The sequence below is a fragment of the Homo sapiens genome, chromosome 9, assembly GCF_000001405.40.
Source record: "Homo sapiens chromosome 9, GRCh38.p14 Primary Assembly".
Classification (NCBI taxonomy): Eukaryota; Metazoa; Chordata; class Mammalia; order Primates; family Hominidae; genus Homo; species Homo sapiens.
In genome coordinates this window covers 109,373,830-109,398,843 of record NC_000009.12, presented here as the reverse complement: position 1 = coordinate 109,398,843, position 25,014 = coordinate 109,373,830, and the positions used below count along the sequence as shown (strand labels likewise).

At 45.3% G+C, this 25,014-nt stretch overlaps 1 protein-coding gene across 18 annotated transcripts in view; it reads left to right on the top strand.

The window, feature by feature from the left end:
• Positions 1-23,150, top strand: part of PTPN3 (protein tyrosine phosphatase non-receptor type 3) — a 162,727-nt gene extending 139,577 nt beyond the window's left edge. For 17 of the 18 annotated variants that reach the window (XM_011518888.3, NM_001145368.2, NM_002829.4 and 14 more), the window contains 7 exons: positions 7,283-7,373; positions 7,645-7,706; positions 9,465-9,611; positions 15,293-15,421; positions 16,397-16,542; positions 17,057-17,192; positions 19,211-23,144. In XM_011518888.3, the coding sequence (XP_011517190.1) occupies positions 7,283-7,373; positions 7,645-7,706; positions 9,465-9,611; positions 15,293-15,421; positions 16,397-16,542; positions 17,057-17,192; positions 19,211-19,288 (789 nt within the window). In that variant the 3' untranslated portion in view covers positions 19,289-23,144. Of the gene's footprint in view, positions 1-7,282; positions 7,374-7,644; positions 7,707-9,464; positions 9,612-15,292; positions 15,422-16,396; positions 16,543-17,056; positions 17,193-19,210 lie in introns of all 18 variants that reach the window. The other variant, NR_026918.1, reaches the window with a different exon arrangement.

Here is a 25,014-nt window from a genome sequence, read left to right as displayed (position 1 = left end):
GTCCATTTAAGCAAAGGACAGGATCTGCATTTGGTATAGACTTTCCTGGATAAAAGCTAAGTGATGATGCTAACCTGTCCTTTATTTGAGAACCAGCTTCCCAGCAACAAAGGATCCCAGTGTCCATTTTCATCCAGTGACCAGGTGACTCACAGCTTCCCTACCTCCTTGCCCACTGTTAGTTAAGAGCTCGAAAATGAGGAACACCACAAGAGAATGCCTGCATCCCCCAGTTGATGGATTACAGCAGTGGCTACAAAAGACCACCAAAGGTCATGTCAAACTCAGATACCCGGCCCCTCCACTTCAGCATCCACCATCTTCACCAAAACCAGAAACCATCTTTGTTCTTCTGGCCCCTGTTTTTACTTTACTTACTCCTACATTGCCCATTATAGAAGATAGCCATTAATGTCAAAACAAGTGACTCACTGGCTCCTGTGATAATTATAAAAGGTGCATTTGGAAGGGCAGAGGTAGCTGAAAACTTTATAAGAGGTTTAAATTGACACCTGTAGAAATTAATGAGAGCAATTGTATCTTCAAGATTAGAACCCTTTAGACCGAGTCTCATTCTGTGGCCCAGGCAGGAGTGCAGCAGTGTGTGATCTTGGCTCACTGCAGCCTCTGCCTCCCACGTTCAAGTGATTCAAGTGATTCTCGTGCCTTGGCTTCCTCAGTAGCTAGGATTACAGGCATGCGCCACCATGCCCAGCTAATTTTTGTATTTTAAGTAGAGATGGGGTTTCACCATGTTGGCCAAGTTAGTCTAGAAGTCCTGGCCTCAAGGGATCTGCCCACCTTGGCCCCACAAAGTGCTGGGATTACAGGCATCAGCCACCATGCCCGGCCCAAAAGATTGCATTTTTAAAAACGGTTTTCCAAATAGTTTGTTGTTTTTGTTTGTTTGTTTGTTTTTTAAGGAAAGAAAACATCATCAGTATAATGTGTATCTGGGATACACGGAGCAAACTGGGGGCTTTGGAATGACCGTGTGTGCAGCCTTTACATTTCAAGTGCCAGCGACCCACCTAAAGGAAGTGCTGCCATAACTTATTGTTGTGTGTCTGTCTGAAAGGGCCCCTGCAAGAATACTTGTTAGGTTTGCCAGCAGTAGAATCTGCATCTGGGACTGTGCCTGGAAAGGGGCACTATGGAAGGTCCCAAAATTACTAGCAACGATTTCAATTCAGCAAACCTTTCTGGGAAGGTAGGTAGAGGCTCCAAGACCCCGCTAGATGGTTTCTCTTGCCCTCTGGCTGGGTCAGATACAAAGGAAAAGCGATGTCCTAGTGTGGGTGAGCTACCCGTGAGTAGTGAACTGTTAATTTGTCTACCAAGTGGTACTAAAACAACCTCTTGGGGTGGGCTCTTTGGGAAAAATGGGTTACCCTCAGCTTAGTTATAGGGCACTATGTCTAAGAAAGCTGAAATTGCTTTGAAATTCTCTTGGGCATGCTTTATTCACATGGTTGGCACTCATTTTTGAAAGCAGCAGATCCCATTATTCCTTGACTCTACAAATTTTTATTGAGCACCTACTATGTGCCAGGCACAATGCTGGTCTGGGGTTTGTGGTAGTGAACAAATGAGATTCCTGTCCCCATAAAGATAATGCCGTAGTGGCTGATACAGCAAACAGCCATTTTGAAACTTGGTTCCTTGGAGTCGACTCTGGGTTTTTGTGGAGGGCATGAAAGGCAATCTGCTTCTGGCCTTTGCTGTCTCCTTACCCATGGTTTCCTTGATTCCCGGTCCCCCTTTTTTTTCCTGTCCTTTTCCCTTTTTCTTCCCCCTTCTTGGGTTCTCAGCCTTCAGGAATTCCCCTTTTTCTGTTCATAGAGTTGACGGAGTGCTTGCTTCCACTTGCTGGGCCTTGCCAGCATCCGCTGGTTAGAGCCAGTTGGGGGTGTGAAGCTCTCACCTGAGGGATGTGAGTAGGCTGCACACCTTTGGTTGAGTGAGGAGATTAGAGTCACCTGATGCCTTCTCTAATATTATAGTAGGTGACTTGTTCTAAGAAGAAATATTTAAGCCAAAAAACCATCCATTGCACCCCTACCACATTGGAGAGCATCTGCTCCCACCATTCAAATTTTTTGTCTTTGGAGGCCAGAGCTGGTGATACTGATACTGTAATTTCAATACAGTTGTTCCTTAGCAACCCCTCTTAGCCGAACTTTTTATAATTTACCGTTAGCTTCAGAGCTTCTTATAACTATACTCTGATAGAATGAGAACAAAGCATTTTAGGACATAAAAATTAATAATTTTTCATAAAATTCAGTGGTTTTGTCATTTTGTATCCCTGTGACCCTGCCTCTCAGCCTCCTGGTGACTCCCATTCTAGGACAGAATCTAAGGGACCTGCAGCCAGGAGCTGTTGTCTCCCTCACACTCCTTCAGCCCAGGAATAACCAAAGCAAATTGTTGTTTTTCCGATGAATTGGAAAATGAAAAAAAAGTGAAGGTTCTCTTAAAAGCCATGTCTCATACTCTGGCCAATATCACAAAGCCTTAACTCATTCCGTTCCATCCCTGACCCTTCCAGAAAGACATACCTGTGATTCCTACACTCACTTTCCACTCTGTCCCTCCGCCTTCTCAGAGCAGTGTTTCATAACCAGACTGCCAAGCAGCCCACAGGGCCTGGAGAAGAGTCGATAAATTTTAGGAACTTGAGGCCAGGCGCAGTGGCTCACGGCTGTAATCCCAGCACCTTGGGAGGCCAAGACGGGTGGCTTGCTTGAGTGCAGAAGTTCAAGACCAGCTTAGGCAACATGGTGAAAACCAGTCTGTACTAAAAATACTAAAATTAGCTGGGCATGGTGGCGCACGCCTGTATACAGATTCCAGCTACACGGGAGGCTGAGGCAGGAGAATCACTTTAACCCAGGAGGTGGAGGTTGCAGTGAGCCGAGATCACACCATTGCATTCCAGCCTAGGTAACAGAGTAAGATTCTGTCTCAAAAAAAAAAAAAAAAAAAATAGGAACTTGAAAAAAAATATATACATATATATAGAGAGAGAGAGACACACACACAGACAGACACACACAGACAGGGTCTTCCTCTGTCTCCCAGGATGGAGTGCAGTGGCACAATATTGGCTCACTGCAACCTCCACCTCCCAGGCTCAAGCAATCCTCCCACCTCAGCCTCCCAAGTAGCTGTGACTACAGACATGTGCCACCACACTTGGCTAATTTTTATATTTTTAGTAGAGATGGGGTTTCACCATGTTACACAGCCTGGTCTCAAACTCCTGAGCTTAAGCTATCCGCCCACCTCAGCCTCCCAAAGTGCTGGGATTACAGGCATGAGCCACTGTGCCCAGCCGAAAACCAACTCTCAACACTTAGGAAACTAAATGTTTAAATTCTGTTTCTACTAAGTTGCTTCAGTCCTATTCAGTGTTAGCCTTTGCAGACATAAATATGAGTGTGTTGTCAAACTTTCCAAAGGCCAAAACAACCTTAACTTTGATTTGTCCACCTAGCTTTTTGTAAAAATTTTGTGCTTTTTAATTTTATAAATAGATTTCTTTTGTTGTATTTCTTTTTCTCACTTTAGTCATTTGAATTTAAAAATAACAATTCTCATTGACATAATTCAGATAATTCAGAAATAACCAAAGTAAAATAGTCTCCTGACTCCTATCCCCTTCAGTTTCTTCCCTCCACTTTTTTTTTTTTTTTTAAATTGAGATGGAGTCTCGCTCTGTTGCCCAGCCTGGAGTGCAGTGGCGCGATCTCGGCTCACTGCAAGCTCTGCCTCCCTGGTTCACGCCATTCTCCTGCCTCAGCCTCCCGAGTAGCTGGGACTACAGGCGCCTGCTGCCACGCCCAGCTAATTTTTTTGTATTTTTAGTAGAGACGGGGTTTCACCATGTTAGCCTGGATGGTCTCAATCTCCTGACCTCGTGATCTGCCCGCCTCAGCCTCCCAAAGTGCTGGGATTACAGGCGTGAGCTGCCACACCCGGCCAGTTTCTTCCTCTTTGTTATAATTTACAAACAACAATTTTTTATGTATCCTTCCATACTTGTTCCAGTGCTCATTGCAGATATATCATATACACATGTATACACACACAAGATTGTGTCTTTACACATTATATACACTGTGTGTGTTGCTACTATATGATCATCATTGTATAAATTATTCATTGTATAATTTGTATAAATTTACAAGTTATAAATTTGTATAAAATTGTATAAATAAAAATACAAAAATTAGCCGGATGTGGTGGCACATGCCTGTAGTCCCAACTACTCAGGAGGCTGAGGCATGAGAACCACTTGAGCCTTGGAGGCAGAGGTTGCAGTGAGCTGAGATCGCACCACTGCAGCCCAGCCTGGGCAACGTGTCTCAAAAAAAAAAAAAAAAATGTAAACACTGCCATAACACTTTTTAATATATGATTTATCTTAGTAGGATTAATCTTAGTACTTTACAAATTTATCAACAGATCATTACTGCTGAGATACATTTAAAGTCTTATGGTAATTAAAGCCTTTTTCTGTAGCTGTGCTTTTCTGCTAGACCACCTCAAGTTGATTTTATTTACACTTTCATTGTTTGAAAAAAAATCTCTTTTTCCCACCAGGTTAGCTTTACTATGTTCACTTAATTGTATATTCACTTAATTGTTGATTATATTCACTTAATCAGTTAGAACTAAAATGCCGTTTAGGTAAATTTAACTTAGGTGCCCGCCTTCTGCCAGAGTCAACCCAAAACCTCTAATAAATCATTAGTTTATTCCTAAAATGAACTCACAGAGTTTATTAGAGACTGCAGTTATTTAAGAAGTTGTTCAGCTGCCTGATGGTTATGAACTGAAACTGTAAAGGTGGTGAGTAGCTGAGCTCTTGGAGTGTTTGGAAATTCTAGACATTTGGCAAATGTATAAGATACAGCACCATTATTATGACCCAAACTCTCTATGTTAATTATCTTCTGGGGAGTTCTGTGTAATTTATTTATTTAGTAAGAGAAAAAACAGACTAACAGAAGCCAGTTTACAAAACAATACAATTTGCAAAAACATAGAGGGAAAAATCCTTTTTACCCTCCCTATTCAAACTGCAAACACATCTTTATTAAGGATGTTGGCCACAATTTGGTGAATTTATCATACATCCCTGTAGGGCAACTTGGTTATATGTATCGAAACTCAAAAATCCTAGCACTTTCAGAGGCCGAGGTGTGTGGATCACCTGAGGTCAGGAGTTCAAGACCAGCCTGGCCAACATGATGAAACCCTGTCTCTACTAAAAATACAAAAATTAAGCAGGTGTGGTGATGGATACCTATAATCCCAGCTACTCAGGAGGCTGAGGCAGGAGAATCGCTTGAACCCCAGGGGATGGAGGTTACAGTGAGCCGAGATCGCACCACTTCACTCCAGCCTGGGTGAAAGAGTGAAGCTCCATCTCAAAAAAAAAAAAAAAAAAAGACAAAAAAAACCATTAAAAATATTATTTGGTATAGTAATTCTCTTCTTAGAAGTTTGAGTAAAAAAAATTTCAAAACAGCCTAATGAAAAAGTAAGATAAAAGTTAATACAAATTATAGTAAACTAGATTATTGAACCATTAAAGATCATATGTGTAAATAATAGTTAATGACATGGGGAAATAGATACTATATAATAAGTAGGAGAAAGCAGCTTGAAAATTAGGGTAGTTATTTCCCAGAATACTCCATTAGATGCTGAGATTTTCCACGGCCAAATTAGCTTGAGATATGTTTAGCTGATCAGAATTTAACAAATGTATGCATTATGCATTGCAGGACTTGTCCTGTTAGAGATTCATAGAACATAAAATAAATGTTTTCCAAATGTCTTGACTTTGAAACTTTTTCTAAGGAATACTTACTATCTTCTTTTAGGACACTTAGGTTGAGTAGAACATAGCATAAGAAGTGCCAATATAGCCGGGTGCAGTGACTCACGCCTGTAATCCCAGCACTTTGGGAGGTCCAGGCGGGCAGATCAGTTGAGGTCAGGAGTTTGAGACCAGCCTGGCCAGCATGAGAAAACCCTGTCTCTACTAAAAATACAAAAATTAGCCAGGCATGGTGATGCACACCTGTAGTCCCAGCTACTCGGAAGGCTGAGGCACGAGAATCGCTTGAACCTGGGAGGTGGACGTTACAGTGAGCCGAGATCACGTCACTGCACTCCAGCCTGGGCAACAAAGAGAGACCCTGTCTCAGGAAGAGAAAAAAAAAGTGCCAGTATGTTGTTCAATCTCATTTTTTGCTTTTAAAAACATAGTATATAAATGTATTATGCGTTTACATATATGTGCTTCTGTTCATTTGTGTTCATGTAGGCACAGAAAAAATAAGCTGGAGAAAATATACAAAAAGCACATCTCAGAGTTGTGAAATTGCTGATAATTTTTTTCTTTATATTAGTCTGAATTTCCCAAATTTTCCGCAAAAAAAAAAAATCACTTCCAACACTGAAAAAACTGTGTTTTTAAATTCCCATAGAGTTAATAAAAACCACTGGTGAGAAAGGATTAAAGGGAAAAAGCAGTCATATAGAAAAGAAAACATAAGCCTTGGAGTCAGATCTGAGTTCTTGTTTGTGATCTCGAACAAAGCATTGAACTTGCAAAATAAGAATACAATTAATATCTCTTACAGGGCTGTTGTGAAAATCACATCAGATACCATACAAATATGTCTAATACATGACTTTAGATATGCAAAGATTGTGTTGTTTGAGATTTTTCGTAGTGATTACATGTGTAGGGAAGTACCTCTGTAAATGAAATGTACTATATATTGGGATAAATGTTTTTCCTGTGGAAATAGACTCCTGAAATGATGAATGAAATGCTCTCGTTCTTAAAGGAAGGGTGTGGTTCACTACATTGAACTGAAGGGAAATGATTCTAGACTAATTTAGATGATTTCCATTTAATTTTGAGCCAGAATTCTTCCCCCCCCCCCCCACATCTAGTTGCTTTTAGCTCTTGTCAAATAGTTGTCATAAAGACAAGGTTTCACTTACCATGCTCCATTACCTGAGACCCAGACCCTTCCTATGGCATTTTTTCAAATTAAAAAAAAAAATTATTAAAGAGTTTAGTCAGTTTCTCATGGAACTGTAGAATTTCTTATTGGGAAGATTTTCTTTTAGTATATAACACATAATCACTTTAAAATGTTAAGATTTTGGTACTGTGAATGATAAAGTATGTTTTCACACTTTCTTCATCTGATTTTTGCAATGCTTGCTTTTTTCTCTATTTCTCACATAGCAACTCTACAGAAAAAAGCCAGGTTTGGCCATCACGTTTGCAAAGCTGCCTCAAAATTTGGACAAAAACCGATATAAAGATGTGCTGCCTTGTGAGTATCCGGCATGAATGCCTCCTTCCCCCCTACACTGAGATAATGTTTCCCTTTTTAAAACAGATTGTCTGGTATTCTGGAACGATTTTCAGTGTGTCTGTAAACACCACCGTCTTTATTGCAGCCATTTCAGACTCGGAACAGTTGGGGAATAGTGTTTATGCTAATGAGGCAGAGCTGCAGATGGGGCTGGGAACTGAACTCTGGTTTACTTGGTATGATAAAAATAATGCTCGGAATAATCGGTAAATTTTTCTCTTCCCCGCAGATGACACCACCCGGGTATTATTGCAGGGAAATGAAGATTATATTAATGCAAGTTACGTGAACGTAAGTTAGGAATCTGGATGATGCTTAAGAGCACATTCACCACTGTCGCAACGATGATGAGGGCCTGTGTGGGGCTTTGCAGTTGACACAGTGCTTTCCCGTTCACCACCGCATTTCAGCACCACAACAGCCATGGGAGGGCAGGCAGAATAGTCTCATTTTACAGAGGAGAAAACTAAGGTTCGGAGAGTTAAAATAATTTGAAAAGTCACAAAGCTAACAGAAGATGGGACCAGACTTGTTCTGTGTTTCTAATTCAATCGTCCACATGCCCCTGTACTGAGTGGCTTCCATTCAGGTGTTTGTTTTTGCCAGTGATGAAACTGTCTATTTCTCTCCATGTAATGAGTGTCATCCTGCCTTAAAAAAAAAATGAGAAAAATAAAACCTCCTCTGTACATATAAGCCAAAAAGAAAAAGTGGAATGTTTCACATGTTATGGGAAAAGCACTTATTTTCTCTCTAAAAACGCATCTTGGGCAACTTACTTGGCCTCTCTAGACTTCCATTCCTTCTTTTTTATTTTATTTTATTATTATTATACTTTAAGTTTTAGGGTACATGTGCACAATGTGCAGGTTAGTTACATATGTATACATGTGCCATGCTGGTATGCTGCACCCATTAACTCGTCATTTAGCATTAGGTATATCTCCTAATGCTATCTGAACCTGGGGTCAGACTTTCTGTAGCCAACCAGATAGTAATATGTGATCTTTGCATTTGAAATGTAACCACTTAAAAAGATTAAAAGCCGCTCTTAGTTTGCAAGGTGGCACACAGATTTGGCCTTCAGGCGATACGTGGTCTGCCAACTCCTAAATAGACAGATGATTTCTCAGATTAAGTTCTCAAGTTATAGCAAAGTGTCAAGAAATGCCCTAATAAAAACTGGTCTCATCAGTGATTCCACCTGTTCCAAAGCATCTATGGGATTCATTGACCCTCACTTCAACATTCCCGGTGTCTTAAAAGCAGAGCATCAGAAACATTAGGGGCAGCAATACCATAAAGACCAGTCTTTTCATATAATCCCAGGACTGAGGAAGCCATTTATCCAAGCACCAGCCGAACCATGAATTAGAAGCCTTCCTTTACCTTGCTCACCTGAGAGTGAGTGAATCCCAGTGCCAGCCCAAAGCTCAGCAGGTTCTGAGTGTTCTTTCGTCAAAAGGACTCAGTCCAGAGGGCAAAAAGGAAACATGGAGCAGGAATATTTCTACCTGAAACATTCATTTCAAAACATTTCAACATTTAATGTCAAGATTGACCAACTTCATGATACAAGCATTGGAAGCCATGCAGAAGGCAAAGTGCAACAAGAATTGGTGGTGTAAACCTGTAAGGTTTATGCTTTAAATAAACGTAAATAGATTTTGATAGAAAACCCTGCATAGGGAAAGACTTAGGGGTAGGATTGGTACATACGGCTGAAAATGCAGATAGCCAATATTGATTATATTTAGGATAGAGCAATGAAAGTCATTTAAACTCTTCTGCCATCTCACAGATAGATTTCTGATTTTTGCCTACTGAGTACCACACACTTTTATCTTAAAGATCTAATACTGGTGGTTGTCAGATATTTTTCAAGAAGTTTTAGAAATAACTTGTTTGATTTTCCTTATTGGCTGTGAATTGATAAAGAGATAATTTTTCTGGTGCAATATCAATTAGCAAGTAGAATAGTTTAAAATCCAGTTCCCTGTGCACCCTGGGGCAGCAACAGATTCTAATACTTTACCAATTTCTTACCAGATGGAAATTCCTGCTGCTAACCTTGTGAACAAGTACATCGCCACTCAGGGGCCCCTGCCGCATACCTGTGCACAGTTTTGGCAGGTTGTCTGGGATCAGAAGTTGTCACTCATTGTCATGTTGACGACTCTCACAGAACGAGGGCGGGTAAGTAGCTTGATTTCTAATTCAGATGTGTGCAGTGTCACACCCTACTCTGTGTAACATGAATCTCAGCGCTGAGAAGGGTCTTCAGCGTCTCCTGGTCCAGCCCGTATGTGACCCTAAGTCTCCTCTACAGAGCAACCAATAGACACCCCTAGTGACGGGAGGCTCAGCCCTCCTCCTCCCCAGTCCCAGCTTGGATCCATTACAACAAGCCAGAAGGCACTTCCCCTAGCCTTACTTCATGTGCCCCAACACCCCTGCAGTGACGTGGCCTTGCCCATTCAGGACAAGTGCTGGTCCTGAAAGAGCAGTGTGTGTGCCAGGTTAACAGTGGCCTTTGTAAAAAGGAGAAATTACATCACTGTGCCATTTTCCATAGAATCCATTTGGGCAGCTCAGCGCTGTCCCTGTCTTGTCTGTCTGCCCTTCTCTTCCCTGTAAAGTTGACTCTGCCTTTTCAGCAGGAAGGTCATTCTTCTCCTCAGAGAAAAGGGAGCCCCCACCGCCCAGCAATGGTCTCTTGTCTTAGGGCTGATAACCCTAAGGGTTGGTTGCCCTGGATAGCAGCCCCCTTCTTTCCCTCATTCTGCTTTTTCCAGCTTGGGAGAAAAGGCCCTTTCTGTGATCCAGGAGACCTCAGCTTCCTCCAGCCACTCCTATGGCTGCTGTCCGCCAGCTCCGTGCTGCTGACAGCCCCTCTTTTTTGTTGATGTCCACTCTGCACCTGAGCTCATTTGAGGTCTCCATTGTGACCTGGAGGGTTTGTTTCCCAGCCCTTTCTTTCTCACTGAAGCTATTCCAGCTGCTTTGTCAGTTTCCTGCATTAGAGATTCCCATCTCCTCTGAGGTCTAGCATTCCCTTCACTATCTCTGGCCCTGGAACTTAACCTCCCCTGTTTATCCATTGGTAGAAACCTGTTCTTCTGAAATCCAGGGTGCATGTTTCCTCCCTCTTCTGTTGCAAACTCTTGGATGACAGGATGACCTCAGCCCTTTATCCTGAAGGCCCTAACCCGTCCACATCACCACCCACCAGTTCTTCCAGATTAGGAGTCCATCACTCCAGGCAGCAGCTTTGCGCCTTTCTCTGAGAGATGAAATTTTCAGCATCTCCCATTTGTTTTCTCCTATACCATGCATTTAGTAGAGTGGGACTCCCAGCAGGTGTGCAGCTGGCTGGAGTCCACCCCCGCTCCCCAGCCTCGCTGTGCTACTCTCAGGTCTGCAAGTGCAGAGAGAGCCTTCTTTGAAGCCTCATATCCCCAGCGGTCAGTAGGACACTTCCCCACGAGATACTTGATTTCTCCCTTTTTAAATTCCCACCCAAAATGTTTTTCTTTGTGCTCTCCCTTGAGGCTCATGGGTTTCTTCTTAGAAACATTGCAATTGAATAAGTTATTCTCCCTCACTTTCCATCAGAGATGTTTCTTTTGGAGAGAAATATCATTTTTTGCTACTACACGTGAATAATGCAGGTACTCTTCCTGGCCCACTGGCGGTCAGAGGCAGGGGCTTTGGGGTCAGAGGAGGCGTTTGAGTTCTGGCACCACCGCTTTCCACTGTTTAACCTTGCACAGGGCTCTAAGCCTCAGTTGCCTCATCACTAGAAAGGAGGTGGTAATGCCTGTCTTTTGGGATTGTTTTGAGAATTAAGAATGAGCTACCCTGGACTGGCTGCCTCATCCAGTAGTGGGTGCTCCACGTGGCATAGTGAGTCAGGATCCTGGCCTCCTTGTCTCACAGGGCCAGAGGCAGATAGGTTTGCTGCTCTGGGCAACATTAGGGGCCCCTGGGTTGCCATGAGGATCATGTGAGGTGACAGGAAGAGGTTTGAGGCAGCACAAAGCTCTATAATCCCCCTTGCTCTTGTTATCTGTTAAACACACTGTTTGGTGAAATGCACACTTAGGCAACGAGGCTCTTCGGCAGAGAACTGATCTCTGAGTCAGGCTTCATCAGGCCCTCTGGTTGGTTCAGCAAATGGATCTAGGCACTGATTCCTTCCACCTCCTGAACCCAGACCCATCTGCTCATTTGTTGATAGGACACATCTACCTGAGTGTCCTCACATACAAGGTGCCTGAAGCTGAAGCTGTCAGCCATGCACCTGCACCCAGGTGGTACACGCCCTGAGCTCACCAGTCTGGCCAGTGGCACCCATCTGCCCAGTCACCCGAGCCAGGAACCTGGAATCGGTCTTACCCCTCCCTTCTCTTCACTTCCCACATCCACTCACCACGGTCTGCCGCTGCCAGTCTCCCCTCTCTGTCCCCCAAACCCTCACCTTCTCTCAGAGCTTTTGCATTTCTCTTCCAGGAGCAGCAGCAGCAGCCTCCTTAGTGGCTTCCTGGCCTAGAGGCTCCCCCAGCCCCCGTCTTGTCCATCCCTTGGCACAGCTTTCAGCGATACCTTTCCAGAGGGTTGCCTGGTCCTGTCATTTCCCTGCTCAAACCCTCTGGTGGCTTCTCAGGTGCACCACGTAAAGTCTCACCTTGAGACTGGTACCTTCTGTGCAGGTGTATTGTACTGTCTGTCGTTCCCTGGGTACATCATGTGCCTCTTTACCTCTTGACCATGTGTGTCCCATTCCCTCTGCCTGAATGATCCATCCTTGCCTTGCCAACCTGATGAAGACCCTCGTCCTTCAATACTGAGATCTCCATCCCCTCTCTCCAGGACATTACCTCCTCCTCCTGTGTGAGCCGCCTGTGTCTCTGACTTCCCTCTTTCTTTTCTTTTCACCACATTCCCCCAACACCGATTCGAGAGCACCTTGAGGACAGTGCCACATCGTGTCTCATTCATCTCTGCATCCTCAGGGATGTTTATTAACTAAGTGAACAAGAAAGCAAGCTTTTCACCATGAAGCCTTCTAAATTTGGCCCATGACTCCCACTAAACCCTATCTGGTCCATCTTCCTGAGATAGTGCTCTCTCTCCTTCTTTGGCATGTTATCCATCGTTAGAATCCTGTTCTTCTGAAATCCAGGGTGCATATTTCCTCCCTTTTCCTCCCTCTCCTGTTACAAACCCTTGGATGACCAGATGACCCGAGCCCTTTATCCCTAAGTTCCTATCTCATCTTCATCACTGCCCACCAGTTCTTCTGGATTAGGAGTCGGTCACTCCAAGTGAGCAGATTTATCCCTTTCTCTGAGAGCTGAAATTTTCAGTATGTCCCATTTGTGTTCACCCATATCATGCATTTAGTAGAGCAGGACTCACAGCAGGCGTATGGCTTGTCTTCCACCCAGCTTGTGGCTTGTTTCCTCTGGTCCAGAAAGACACATCCTTTCAGAAACCATCTCCCTGGTCAGCTTTCCCTTCCTGAAGCCTCTTCTCGAAACCACACCTGGGGACTGGAAATGAGAAACAGGCCCCACTCAGGCTTGTGAATCTCTGAGGACAGAGCATTCTGAGTTCTGGCAGCATCTGCCCAGGGTCTCGTCCCCAGCAGCATGTTGCCAGCCTCCTAGCTTCAGTGATCTTCGTTGTCCATTGACAACTTCTCCAGAAGTGCTTCTTCTCTTATATGCTCAGCTTTGCATATGTTACTGTTTAATTTAACCACAGCCCTAAGAAGGTGCATTTTCTTGTCATTCCAGAGTATTACCAGCCTGGCTAAGGGTTCACAGGCCTGTTGAGACATTCCAGCTCTGCCCCAGTTCCTCTCTCTGTGATCTGACACACACTGATTCATTCTCTGAGCCTCAGTTTACTCATATGCAAAACAGAGACAATCATAGTACCTACCTCATAGGGTTGTTTTGAAGCCAAGGTAAAGCCATGTTCATGAAAGGCACCATTCAGTGCTTAGCATCTACCGTTCTGAAGATATGAAGCTTCAGAATCATCGCCCCTCGCTGCAGCAGCATTAATGTGGAGACTGAGACCCAAAGAAGTTAAGTAATTTGCCCGAGATCACTAACCAAATATGTTTAGTAGAATTTATTAACCAGGGTTGAAACTCAGGATCTCCACAGACTTGTTCTTTCCACTACACCACCAGTTTTTCCAGATCCAAATTGAACTGCAATCTGTATTTGGTCAGAGGTAAAGAGAGAGTCTAGTACTGCTCAGATTCACTGTGGAATAAGGGGAGTCTCTCTGGCAGTACAGATATTGGTAGTTCTGCCTTGCATGGGTTGATCTCATCAGAGAATATCTTCTCTGCAATTACCCTGTGGGCAGGACCATTGGGAGCCTACAGGACAGGGATTTATCCTTCCTATGCAGATGAGGAGGTGAGAGAGGGCTTGTGTCTGTCAACTCTGCCTTGGGCCCTACAGCCCTTAACCTGTCATGTCTAAGCAAAGTCACAGAATGGCTACTAACCAAAATTACCCATGTTTAAGGTTTCCAAGTAAATTCTTAACTCCAGCTTTCCAGCGGCATAGTTTAGTTTCAAGTATTCACTGTGACATTTGAAAGTAAGAATAGAGAGGCTGTTTCCCAACAAATTACATATGTCTTATGGTTATACCACTTTTCCACCATGAACAAATGTATTTTTTACTTAAGTTGCTATAACCACATATAGGCTCAGGGGAAAATGCTTGTTTAATGACTTAGGATTTAACTGACAGAAGGATCTATGATGGGATGGACAGCCTAGCCCTGAAGTTTGCTTAGAAGCCAGAGGCAGGTGCTAAGATGGCTTACAGGACAAGTTGCAGGTTTTAGAAGCAGGGATAGAAACTGGGGAGGGTGGTGGGATCAGCCCGTCTGTGCGGACAGCACAGCCATATTGAGAGACACTGGGGTGCCATAGGAAGAGTGCTGGACTGCATCACTGTGACCTCATGGCCTTGGGCAAGTCACTTAATCCCGAGTAGCCCTGGATTCCTTGTCTGCTGTGTGGGATATCACCTCTTTAGGGCGTCACCTAAGAAAGCCTTCAAGGGCTTCAGAGACGCTGCTCCAGTGAGAAAGGTATTCATCTCGATTTGTGAGTCCCTTAATCTGGGTTTTTGTGGAAACTCATCACTGTTACTCAAGCTGGTATGTAACCCATGACAGCAACAGAAGTCATGGCCACCCCCGCCTGCCCCCTACAGTGGCTAAGTACTGCACACCCACGCCGGCCGCCTCACCAGCGTTGAGGCAGGAGCCACCTCCATCTTCCCGGTGGAAAACATGAAAATCAGAGAGGTTAAGCAACTGTTTCGACATCATCTGGCTGACAAATGGAGGAGGAAAGGATCCCAGCGGAGTTGTGTATGACACCAGATGTGTGCCCTTAACTGCTGTGCCTGGAGGCCTCCCCCTCAAAAGGGTGGGGAGAATGGTGGAGGAGGGGTGCAGGAGGAGGGGCCGTTGGAGGTGGGGAGGGGCCTGAGGGGCTGGGGTCTGGGAGGGTAGAGAGGTTGCTCACAGGCTAAGGTCCTGCATCTGAGGCCACTGGTGCTCTTCCAGCGAGTGGCCCCTGGTGATGAAGACGCTGCGTCCTCCTCCTCCAGGCTGCAGCCTGGGGCTGAGCGGAGACCTGTGGCCTAGTCCCTGGCAGGCTGCCCCCACCCCGCCCTGAGAAACAGCTGATGGACTTGGCTGAGTTTGTTTTCTCCCATCAGTGCTCTCGGGTGTGCATGAGAGGATGCCTAACCCGTCCACCTGTCCAGGGTTAACTGCTTGCAGGAACACCCCACAGACGGGGCTCACTCACTCTCGGTGGTTTCTTACAGACCAAATGTCACCAGTACTGGCCAGATCCCCCCGACGTCATGAACCACGGCGGCTTTCACATCCAGTGTCAGTCAGAGGACTGCACCATCGCCTATGTGTCCCGAGAAATGCTGGTCACAAACACCCAGGTGAGCCGCAGCCTGAGGGGCACGGTGGAGGGGCAGGTGCTGAATCAGCGGCCACTGTCATCCCAGGTGGTCACGCTTCTAGGTGTGCACTCTGTTTGCACCTGGCAAGCGTGTCAGTAAGTGCGCAAGACTGCCCATCAAAGAGCCAGGGCCCAGAGTTCACAGTGGCCCTAGTCACAACAGGCACGAGGTGCAAACAGCCCAGTGTCCATCGATGGAGGAATGGATAAACAGCACGTGGTCTGTCCATACAATGGAATATGATTCAGCCTTTAAAAGGAAGGAGATTCTGACCCCTGCTACAACACTGGGGAACCTTGAGCATATTATCCTAAGTGAAATAAGCCAGACATAGAAAGACACATACTGTAGGATTCAACTTCTGTGAAGTGCCTAGAGTCGTCCAATTCATAGAGACAGAAAGTAGAACGGTGGTTGCCAAGGGCTTGGGGAAGGAGGAGAAAGGACATCTATGGACATTTTGCCATATGGCATAATGGGTGCAGGGTTTATGTTTGCGGGATATTTTAAAGTTCTGGAAATAGGTAGTGCTGATGGCTCTACAACATTGCGAGTATTCTCAATGCCGCTGAACTGTACATTTAAATGTGGTTACAGTGGTAAGCCTCATGTTAGTATATTTTGCCACAGTTGAAAAAAAAAAAAAAAAACAGTCAGCATGTGTGGCCTCTAATGGCAAGTACCATAGCAGCAAATGGAGGAGATCACTGGGCAGAGGAGATCACTGGGCAGAAGTGATCAAGGAAGGCAGCCCTGCAGGACAGGCCCACAGCTGAGCCTGAGAGGGGATGGGGATCTTTGGGGAAGGAGGGGAGGAATTGCTAGGGGCCACAGCAGGGCTGTGCGCAGAGGGAGAAAGCATCAGGAGACAGGGCCACCCTGTGTCTGGGTTGGGGCTGGGTCCTCATGCTCACCACCTGGATGGGCTCACCAAGGCCACTGCATCTCCCACAGACCGGGGAAGAACACACAGTGACACATCTCCAGTACGTCGCATGGCCTGACCACGGTGTGCCCGATGACTCCTCCGACTTTCTGGAATTTGTAAACTATGTGAGGTCTCTGAGAGTGGACAGCGAGCCCGTCCTAGTTCACTGCAGGTATGGCGCTTGCTGTTTTGTTAGGTTTGGAATCCTTTCCCTGTCGGAAAAGGCCTGGAGACAATTGGCAGGCGCCAGACCCACCCTACATCCCACAAAGTCGTGTGCCCTTACAAACCTCTGTTGACTGTGGTTCTTCACCATTTCAAAAGTTTTTTGGAATTTTATGAAATCCTAACTTTGTGAATGTAGCACAGAACTGAAGAAGAAAATCCCCTCACACACCCTTTCTCCTGTCCTTCTGTCAGCTGACCTTCGTCATAGGTGTGAGTGAGAAAGGGAATAGGTTTGGCACTTCACAGTGGCCCTCTTTCCACTGCCTGCTAGCCCCCAGTCTCAGATGTGTGAGGACAGGCTGTCTCAGCCTGTTTGAGAGCACGCCGTGAGTGTGCGTTTTGTCTTCTCGAAGGCCAAGGGAGGAAAGCCCCTTTGGAGTCAGCGGGGAACTGCTCGCTGGGCCATGCAGAAAGGCTACTCAGACAAATCCCAAGTCTGTCTTCTCTCCCCTCTCCAGTGCTGGAATAGGTCGAACCGGTGTGTTGGTCACTATGGAAACAGCCATGTGCCTAACTGAGAGGAACCTGCCCATTTACCCACTGGATATTGTCCGAAAAATGCGAGACCAGCGCGCCATGATGGTGCAGACATCAGTGAGTAGAAATCCAGTAATTACGGTGGCTGGCACTTTCTGAGCACTTACACCAGGCAGGCCTGAGAGAAGGGCTTTGTGAGTCAACAGACTGCAGCTCAGGGGGACTGAATCACTTGCCCAAGGTCACAGAGCTTGTCAGTGGCTACAGCCCACACCCATCTCACCTCTGAGCTCTGCTGCCTCTGTGGTTTATTTCCTGCCAGCCCGTCTGTCAGGGAGCAGCCCTGGTTGCATTCTGTATCGTTGAACAATCATTTGTCCATTATCCTCCCCCGCACCGACCCACCTAGACCTGGGTACTCCTTTTGGCTCAGTGGATGTTGCATATGACCCTACTTTGAGCTCTGTTCCACCCGTGTGGTGCCTGAGTACCTGCTGTGTCCTCCACGGGCAGGCCAGAGCTCAAAGTAGGGTCATGTGCAACATCCTCTTGTCCTCAAGAGGAACTCTAGGGGATAACTCTTGGGGATTTCCCCTGGAACTGCAAGCGGGGCAGTGAAGCGGTGTGGAAAGAGCATGATTAAGGTCCCACCACAAATGGAACAACCTTTGCATAAGTCCTGAACCTCTCTCCAAGCTTCAGCTTCCCTGTGCAAAATGGGGACCATCCCACATTCATTCATTCATTCATTTGACAAAGAAGGGTGCAGAGACAGGCTTGTATCTAGTAGGAGAACTGGATTAGTCTATGCTAAGTGTCAGCAGCGGTGAGGGAAGTTCAGGGCTGTCTGAGAACATGGTGGAAGAGTATCTAAAGCAGGATTTGGAAAGTCTAGGAAGGCTTCCTGGAGAAGTGTCTTCTCTGGTAAAAACCCCCAGGGTACATGAGGAGTTAGCAAAGAAAGGAGCAGGAACTATATGTTCCAACCAGCTCTGTCTCTTCACAGGCTGTGGACAAAGTTTATAAGATTTCCCTAATAAATTTTTAAGCTTTGGTAGTTTTATATTAGTTTGTACCCAGAAAATCTTGTTAAGAGAAAAAAAATCAGCTTATGTTATTAGGGCCATTCTCTGCCCTGTTTTTTGGTATGGAAGACCTCGTGGCTGGTTAAAAAGAAAAAAGTCCATCATCCTGGTAGATTTTCCCAGCTGGAAGCTGGGCACGGTGGCTCACGCCTATAATCCCAGCACTTCAGCAGGCTAAGGAAGGTGGATCACTTGAGATCAGTAGTTCAAGACCAGCCTGGCTAACATAGTGAAACCCCGTCTCTAATGAAAATACAAAAATTAGCCAGGCATGGTGGCATGTGCCTATAGTCCCAGCTACTTGGGAGGCTGAGGCAGGAGAATCGCTTGAACCCAGGAGGTGGAGGTTGCAGTGAGCCAAGATTACGCCACTGCACTCCAGCCTGAGTGACAGAACAGGACTCTGTCTTGAAAACTAGATAGATAGATAGATAGATAGATAGATAGATAGATAGATAGATAGATAGATTTTCCTAGCTGGAGAAGCTCAGTCTAAATGCTTTTATCCCCCCTGTATACTTTGCTACAATATGTTTCTTAGGTATTTGCTAAGATAAATAACTGTATCCTGCAGAGCATCTTTCAGTGGCTCTGCTTTGTAAAACACAATCCAGACTCCTTACCCCAACACAAGGTGCCCACAACCAGGTCCCAGCCCACCTGTGCAGCCCCTCCTCCTCCACATGCCTAGGTGTTGAGTCCAGGAGCAGGCTCCCTGACCCCGTTTCTCAAAATGGGCTCTTACTGAGGCTTCCACACTTCCACTTACAAGAAGGGCTGTCCCGCAGGGACTTTTGCTCCTTCCCACCTCCCCCAGACCGCCAGTTTCTCCCTCTGTCATGTCTCCATGACACTTTGCCCACCCCTCTCTGGGAGTGCCCCCTCCCCGCATCATATAGGAACTAGGGCTTCACAGGTGTACCTGGCCTGTGGCCCAGAGTTGGCGCTCAGGGAATATTTACAAATGCTGCAAAAGACCCACCGGTACAGGGTGTGGTAGGCAGCATTTCCTGGAGCTACAGGACTTGACAGCATTTTTTTCTTTTCCAGAGCCAGTACAAGTTTGTGTGTGAAGCGATTCTTCGTGTGTATGAAGAAGGTTTAGTCCAAATGCTGGATCCTAGTTAAGACAACTGTGAAAAAGTTCATTCCTCTTTCCCAAGGGCATCCTCCTTGAAAGAGGAGGACAGACCTCTCTGGAAGCAGCAAGAGGAACCAGTAGCTGTGGGAAAGGAATGGGCACCTCTGAACCCAGGCACTTTAAACTTCTATAGAAAAGATATCGTGTACATAGGAACTGGTGTAGATAAGCATGCAATTATGGCATCATTTAGGCCTGTATTTCTATGGAAAGATACAAAAAGGATCTCAGTTTGGGGCCTGTCCTAATGCCTTCTTCCCTAACATCACCACACACACCCCTGTCGGCATCCTGGAGCAATTGAGACCGGACACCCACAGAGCTGTTGTCCTCCCAGCAACAAGATGGTGTGGTTATCTTGGGTCATTTGGATGTTTTGTTTGTTTCTGTGTGTCAGACTGTAAGGGCTGAGCTTTCTGTGCTTCTAGGTGGAGCTGGAACAATTCAGATTCACCCGCCCTGATGCTAAGGAAACCCTGACGTATGTACTAGATGGCAGGGCACTGGGGGTCAGGCTGAAGGCTGAGCAACACCTCTCTGCCCTCCCTCCCTTTGTCCCATCTCCCAGCGACTTCCAATATTCATGTTTCTGAGAATTGTGTCCCTCTTCAGGTTCCCTCTTGGTGCCTAACCTGGATTAGTAATGTGCATTCAGGTGAATTTTCAGCTGAGGCTCTGAGAACTGGTACTCTCAGTGTGTTCTGGTCATCTTGTGGCTTAGTTGTAGAAGCAGGTGTGTCTCTTGCCTCTGCTTGCCTCCTACTGCACACTCAGCACCCAGGACTGGAATCACCGACTACTGAATCTCCTACATGTATTGCTGCTACTTCAAGCTCCTCCACTTGAAACCTTATGATTTTCCCAAGGGGAGATGGGACAGTGTCATCTAAATATTCCGAATGTTTGGCCTTCTGAGAAAAGAGCTTCTAGTAATTGAACCATGGGAAACCCAGCTTCTGGAGGGTTGGCCGTGGGGCTGTGTACATGTGTGTGCCCAGGGGTGAGTGTTTCTCAGGATTCCTAACGATTCAAATTACCGTTGAGTATATATAAAGAATGAGTCTCTGTATGGAAGAACAAATGTGTGCATTCACCCCCAGTCACAATGGTCTCCATTGCATTTCAAAGGAGAGGATCAGACTATCTGAATATAAACACAATCTGATGTTAATTTATTCTAAGAACACCATCATTTTGATTGTCCTAAAGAATTCTGCCTTTGTGAATACCGTGTTAAATTTTTTTAAATTTGTGACAGGATTGTAGCAAATTATTATTTAAGGAAAATAAATTGTGTAAACATTTAATGTGGTATTTTTGAACAGCGGTTTTTATGTACTCAGAAGAGGAAGTAAAGCCAGGTTCTTAATGGTATTTATAGAAAAGATGTTTTCATATTATAATGCACATAAATGAAGCCATTTTGATATTCAGCAAATTCGGTGCCAATTGAATAGTTTGCTGGTAGCAAGACGGATGAAGACCTATATGGGAGATTCTTTATCTCTAGAGCTAGCATATTTACTTGCATACTTTGTTTCTTTTCCACATGGATATTTTACTGCTAAATGGCAGAGGTGGGAGGGAGATGTCACACAGTACCATAACCCCATATTGAAAACAAGAAACCACCAGAAAGTTTGCAGCTAAGGGGCAGGGGATTCAGTTCCTACGCCCACTCAGCACTAACTACTTGCGGGCCTGGTTGCTTAGAAGCTCTACCTCTCTTTCATTATCTGTAAAATAGAAACAATACTTAGGACTTTAGTTGGAACATGAGGATTGAATAAGATCACGCTATTCATGTGACTTTTTATCGGCTAGAACAGCAACAGACACTGCTGTGGGTGAGTTACTTAGAAAAGTTTAGTTATCAGTGATTAGCCCAAAAACACATCAGTCAAAAATAGAATCCACTGGATTTTTGTCTCTCTTTTTAGAGACAGGGTCTCACTGTCGCCCAGGCTGGAGTACAGTGGCATGATCATTGTTCACTGCAGCCTCAAATTCCTGGGCTCAAGCAATCCTCGCACCTCAGCCTCCTGAGTAGCCGGGACTATAGGCACATGCCACCTCACCTGGCTTGTGTGTGTGTGTGTGTGTGTGTGTGTGTGTGTGTGTGTGTGTGTGTGTGTGTGTGTGTGTGTAGAGACAGGATCTTGATGTGTTGCCTAGGCTGGTCTCAAACTCCTGGCCTCAAGTGATCTTCCCACCTCAGCCTCCAAAACTGTTGGGATTATAGGCGTGAGCCACTGTGCCCAGCCTAACTGGGTTTTTATGAGAGGAAAATAGAAAATGCTCTTCTAGAAGAGAGAGAACAAGAGCACAAAATAATCTGGACTCACAAAAATTCAGCAAGCTCCAAGAAAGGGGGATGGAGGGAACGCTGGCAAAAATTTAAATGCCATTAGGATATTTAGCAAGTTATTACTGTTTGGTAAAAATGCATCATCACCCTGTGTGCAAAATGCTTGCAAAGTAGTCTAAATGTCTTTGGAGATGGGTGTTTTACTGCTTTTTTCCAAAAACAAATTGTTTATTATGGTTGCAGAAATGCAGCCATTACGGTCACATAAATTTCTAAAAAGCCTACCAAAGGTTGCAAGCAGTCTTCTGCCACTGGGCAGGCCAGCAGTTCAGACCCAGCGAGGTTGCCAGGAACAAATCCAGGAAATACTGGGAAGAACAAGACAAGAGAATTACCTAAAAGAGCAAACAATTCAAGTAAATCCTGTAGCTATTACCACTTAAAATCCGTAGCTCAAGATTCCTGTTTCACCACCTTATACACTTAAGCAATTATACTTAAGCCTTTTTTTAGTCCTAAGTGAAGAACTACATCAGAATCAGGATAAGTATTTTGCCTGGGAAATTTGGCTGCATATGAATGGAGAAGACATTTACATCCTATGTTCTGGCACTTTCTGAAAGATCTAATTAAACATGTTGATGTGCCAATTTAATCAAGATGAGAGATCCCTGCTGGTGTCACCCTCTAGAACCTGCACTTGGTGTTTTGACTTTCCAGAAGAAAAAAATGCAACTTTGGTTAGGGGGCAGTGGTTGGATCACACAGTTGTCTTTCGTTTCCTACCACAGTAATTCATATTTAAATATGCTTTTAGATTAGTGTGGATACTATTGCTGCTGTGTTGCTACCTGACCTTTTTCTGGGGGGGGTACCTCAGAAATGAGCATTTGAGGGCAAGCGAAAAAGCCCTCTTCATCCTCCAGAGGCAACAAAGAGGCAGCAGAAATGGGGAAAGATTGTGAGAGGCAGGGCTTGGGTCTAGACCTGGACTTAGGCAAGATATGTTGCCCTCAACCCTGAGTTTTCTTATATGTAAAAAGGGAAGGTTGGGCTGGACTAGATGAGGTCAAGATTTGCCATTCTGGGAGGCTGATATTCCAGAGAATCAAAATTAATCCTAAACCAAAGCTTTATGGCTGCTACAGAGACATGTCACATTTCTGAGACTTGTCACCAAGAGTTTGTCCCTCAGACTTTGGCGCTGTTGAATGCAAAGACAAGGATGGCCACCTTCTGGTTCTTGCCTGTTGTCCTCAGCTGAGAGCAGTCTCGGTAAAGGTGGCAAAGATTCTGTGACCTCAGACCGGGGACCAAATGCTTGGGAGTCTGATGGCCGGGCTGGGCCACCATTCTCATAGCTCTCATTCTGTTTGGAGCAACCAAAGGATTTGTGTGAAGTTATTTGGAAAAGGACCTTAACTGAGCAGTAATCTTTTTTCTGTATATTTGGAATGTTTTTCATTCTGACCTGTTCTGTCAGTGATTCTACTGAAAAACAATTTAATCAATATAAAAATGTTCAAGCTATGCAACACTGTTATTGTCTGTTGACATTTTTATTCTAATTGATTTCTGCAAATCTTTTCTTATTTGTGTTTGCTTTTTCCTTTCATTTAGAAATCAACTCTTTTGGAGGAGAGTGCTCTCTGCTCATCTCCACCTTCCCTCTGGTCAGGAGCATGAACTCCCATCTTGGCCTTGTCCTGGGGTATTAGTCCATTCTCATGCTGCTAATAAAGACATACCTGAGACTGGGTAATTTATGAAAGAAAGAGGTTCAATGGACTCAATTCCACGGGGCTGGGGGAGGCCTCACAATCATGGTGGAAGGCGAATGAGAAGCAAAGTCACGTCTTACATGGTGGCGGGCAGGAGAGCTTGTGCAGGGGAACTCCCATTTATAAAGCCATCCGATCTCATGAGACTTTTTCACCACCACGAGAACAGTATGGGGGAAACCTCCCCCATGATTCAGTTGTCTCCCCCTGGCTCCACTCTTGACGTGGGGATTATTACAATCCAAGGTGAGATTTGGGTGGGGGACACAGCAAAATTATATCACCTGGTGTGGCAAATTCTATACCCAAATTAGGTTCCACCATCCTGACGAGTAGCTTTCACATAGTACAAGTTCACCTTTTGTCCTGCAGGGCTGCCAGGGTGGCTTCATGGTCACCAGGGTCCCACATTCCTCCCCACTTGTTGCTCGGCCATCCTCAGTCTACAGCTCCATCACATTCCAGCTAGTAGGAGGGAGGCAAGGGGAGGAGAAAAGCATGATCCCTCCCTGGAGGAGGTGCCACCTGGGTATTGTACATCCTGTTGATCAGAACTTTGTCACAGGGCCATACCTACTGCAAGGAAGAGAGTAGAGGGAAGGTCATTTTTATTCCAGGAAACCATGTGCCTAACAAATTCAGGGCTTCTATCTGAGAAACAAAATAATAGGTTTGAGGGACAATTAGTGCTCTCTGCCATCGCTCAACCCTTTGGCTGCCCTTCTTCTGTGACATAGAATCTGCTCTGTTGCCCAGGCTGGAGTGTAGGATCTTGCTGAGTTGACCAGGTTGGTCCCAAAATCCTGGGCTCAAGTGATCCTCCCATGTTGGCATTCCCAAAGTGCTGGGATTACAGGCATGAGGCACCGCACCTGGTCCACCACAGCTTCTATAGGCTGCTTACTCCTTGGGCAGTTTTGGGGGAGTCCCCAGGGTTACTTTCATGGTTCAGGAAGACCAGGCATGCATTTCTTAGACAATAGAATCCATCAGCTACTCACAGCGGAAGATCTGCTCTGCTTCTGCCTCTTCGACATAAACGTGGTTGCCTTGAGGCTGCCTAAAAGAGAAGCATGGGTGGGAGCAACACCCTTAGTCTGGTCTTTGAAGCAACCTGGTTTGCATTTTCTGGCAGAGAAGCCTTATCTGCACTAAGACTGCCACTTCAAGGCCACTGCGCTTAATAGCTGCAGTTTGAAGGACAAAAGCAGTTGTCATTTTCAGTGCTTCAAGACTTTAATCAACTTTGAGTGCAGCTATTGACAGCACCTCTCTGAGCAAAGCAAGAGTCCCTCCTGTCTTAGCCTGCTTACTGTTGCTATGCAGGAATACCTGAGGCTGGGCAATTTATAAAGAAAAGAGGTTTATTTGCCTCAGTTCTGCAGACTGTACAAAAAGCATGGCACCCACATCTGCTTCTGGTGAGGGCCTCAGGCCTCTTCCACTCATGGTGAAAGGCAAAGGGGAGTGAGTGTGTGCAGATCACATGATGAGACAGGAAGCAAGAGAGAGCGGGGAGAAGGACCAGGCTTTTTTTAACAACCTGCTCTTACCGAAATGAAGAGAGTGAGAACTCACCCCATCCTCAGGGAGGACATTATTCATGAGGGATTTACCTTTATGA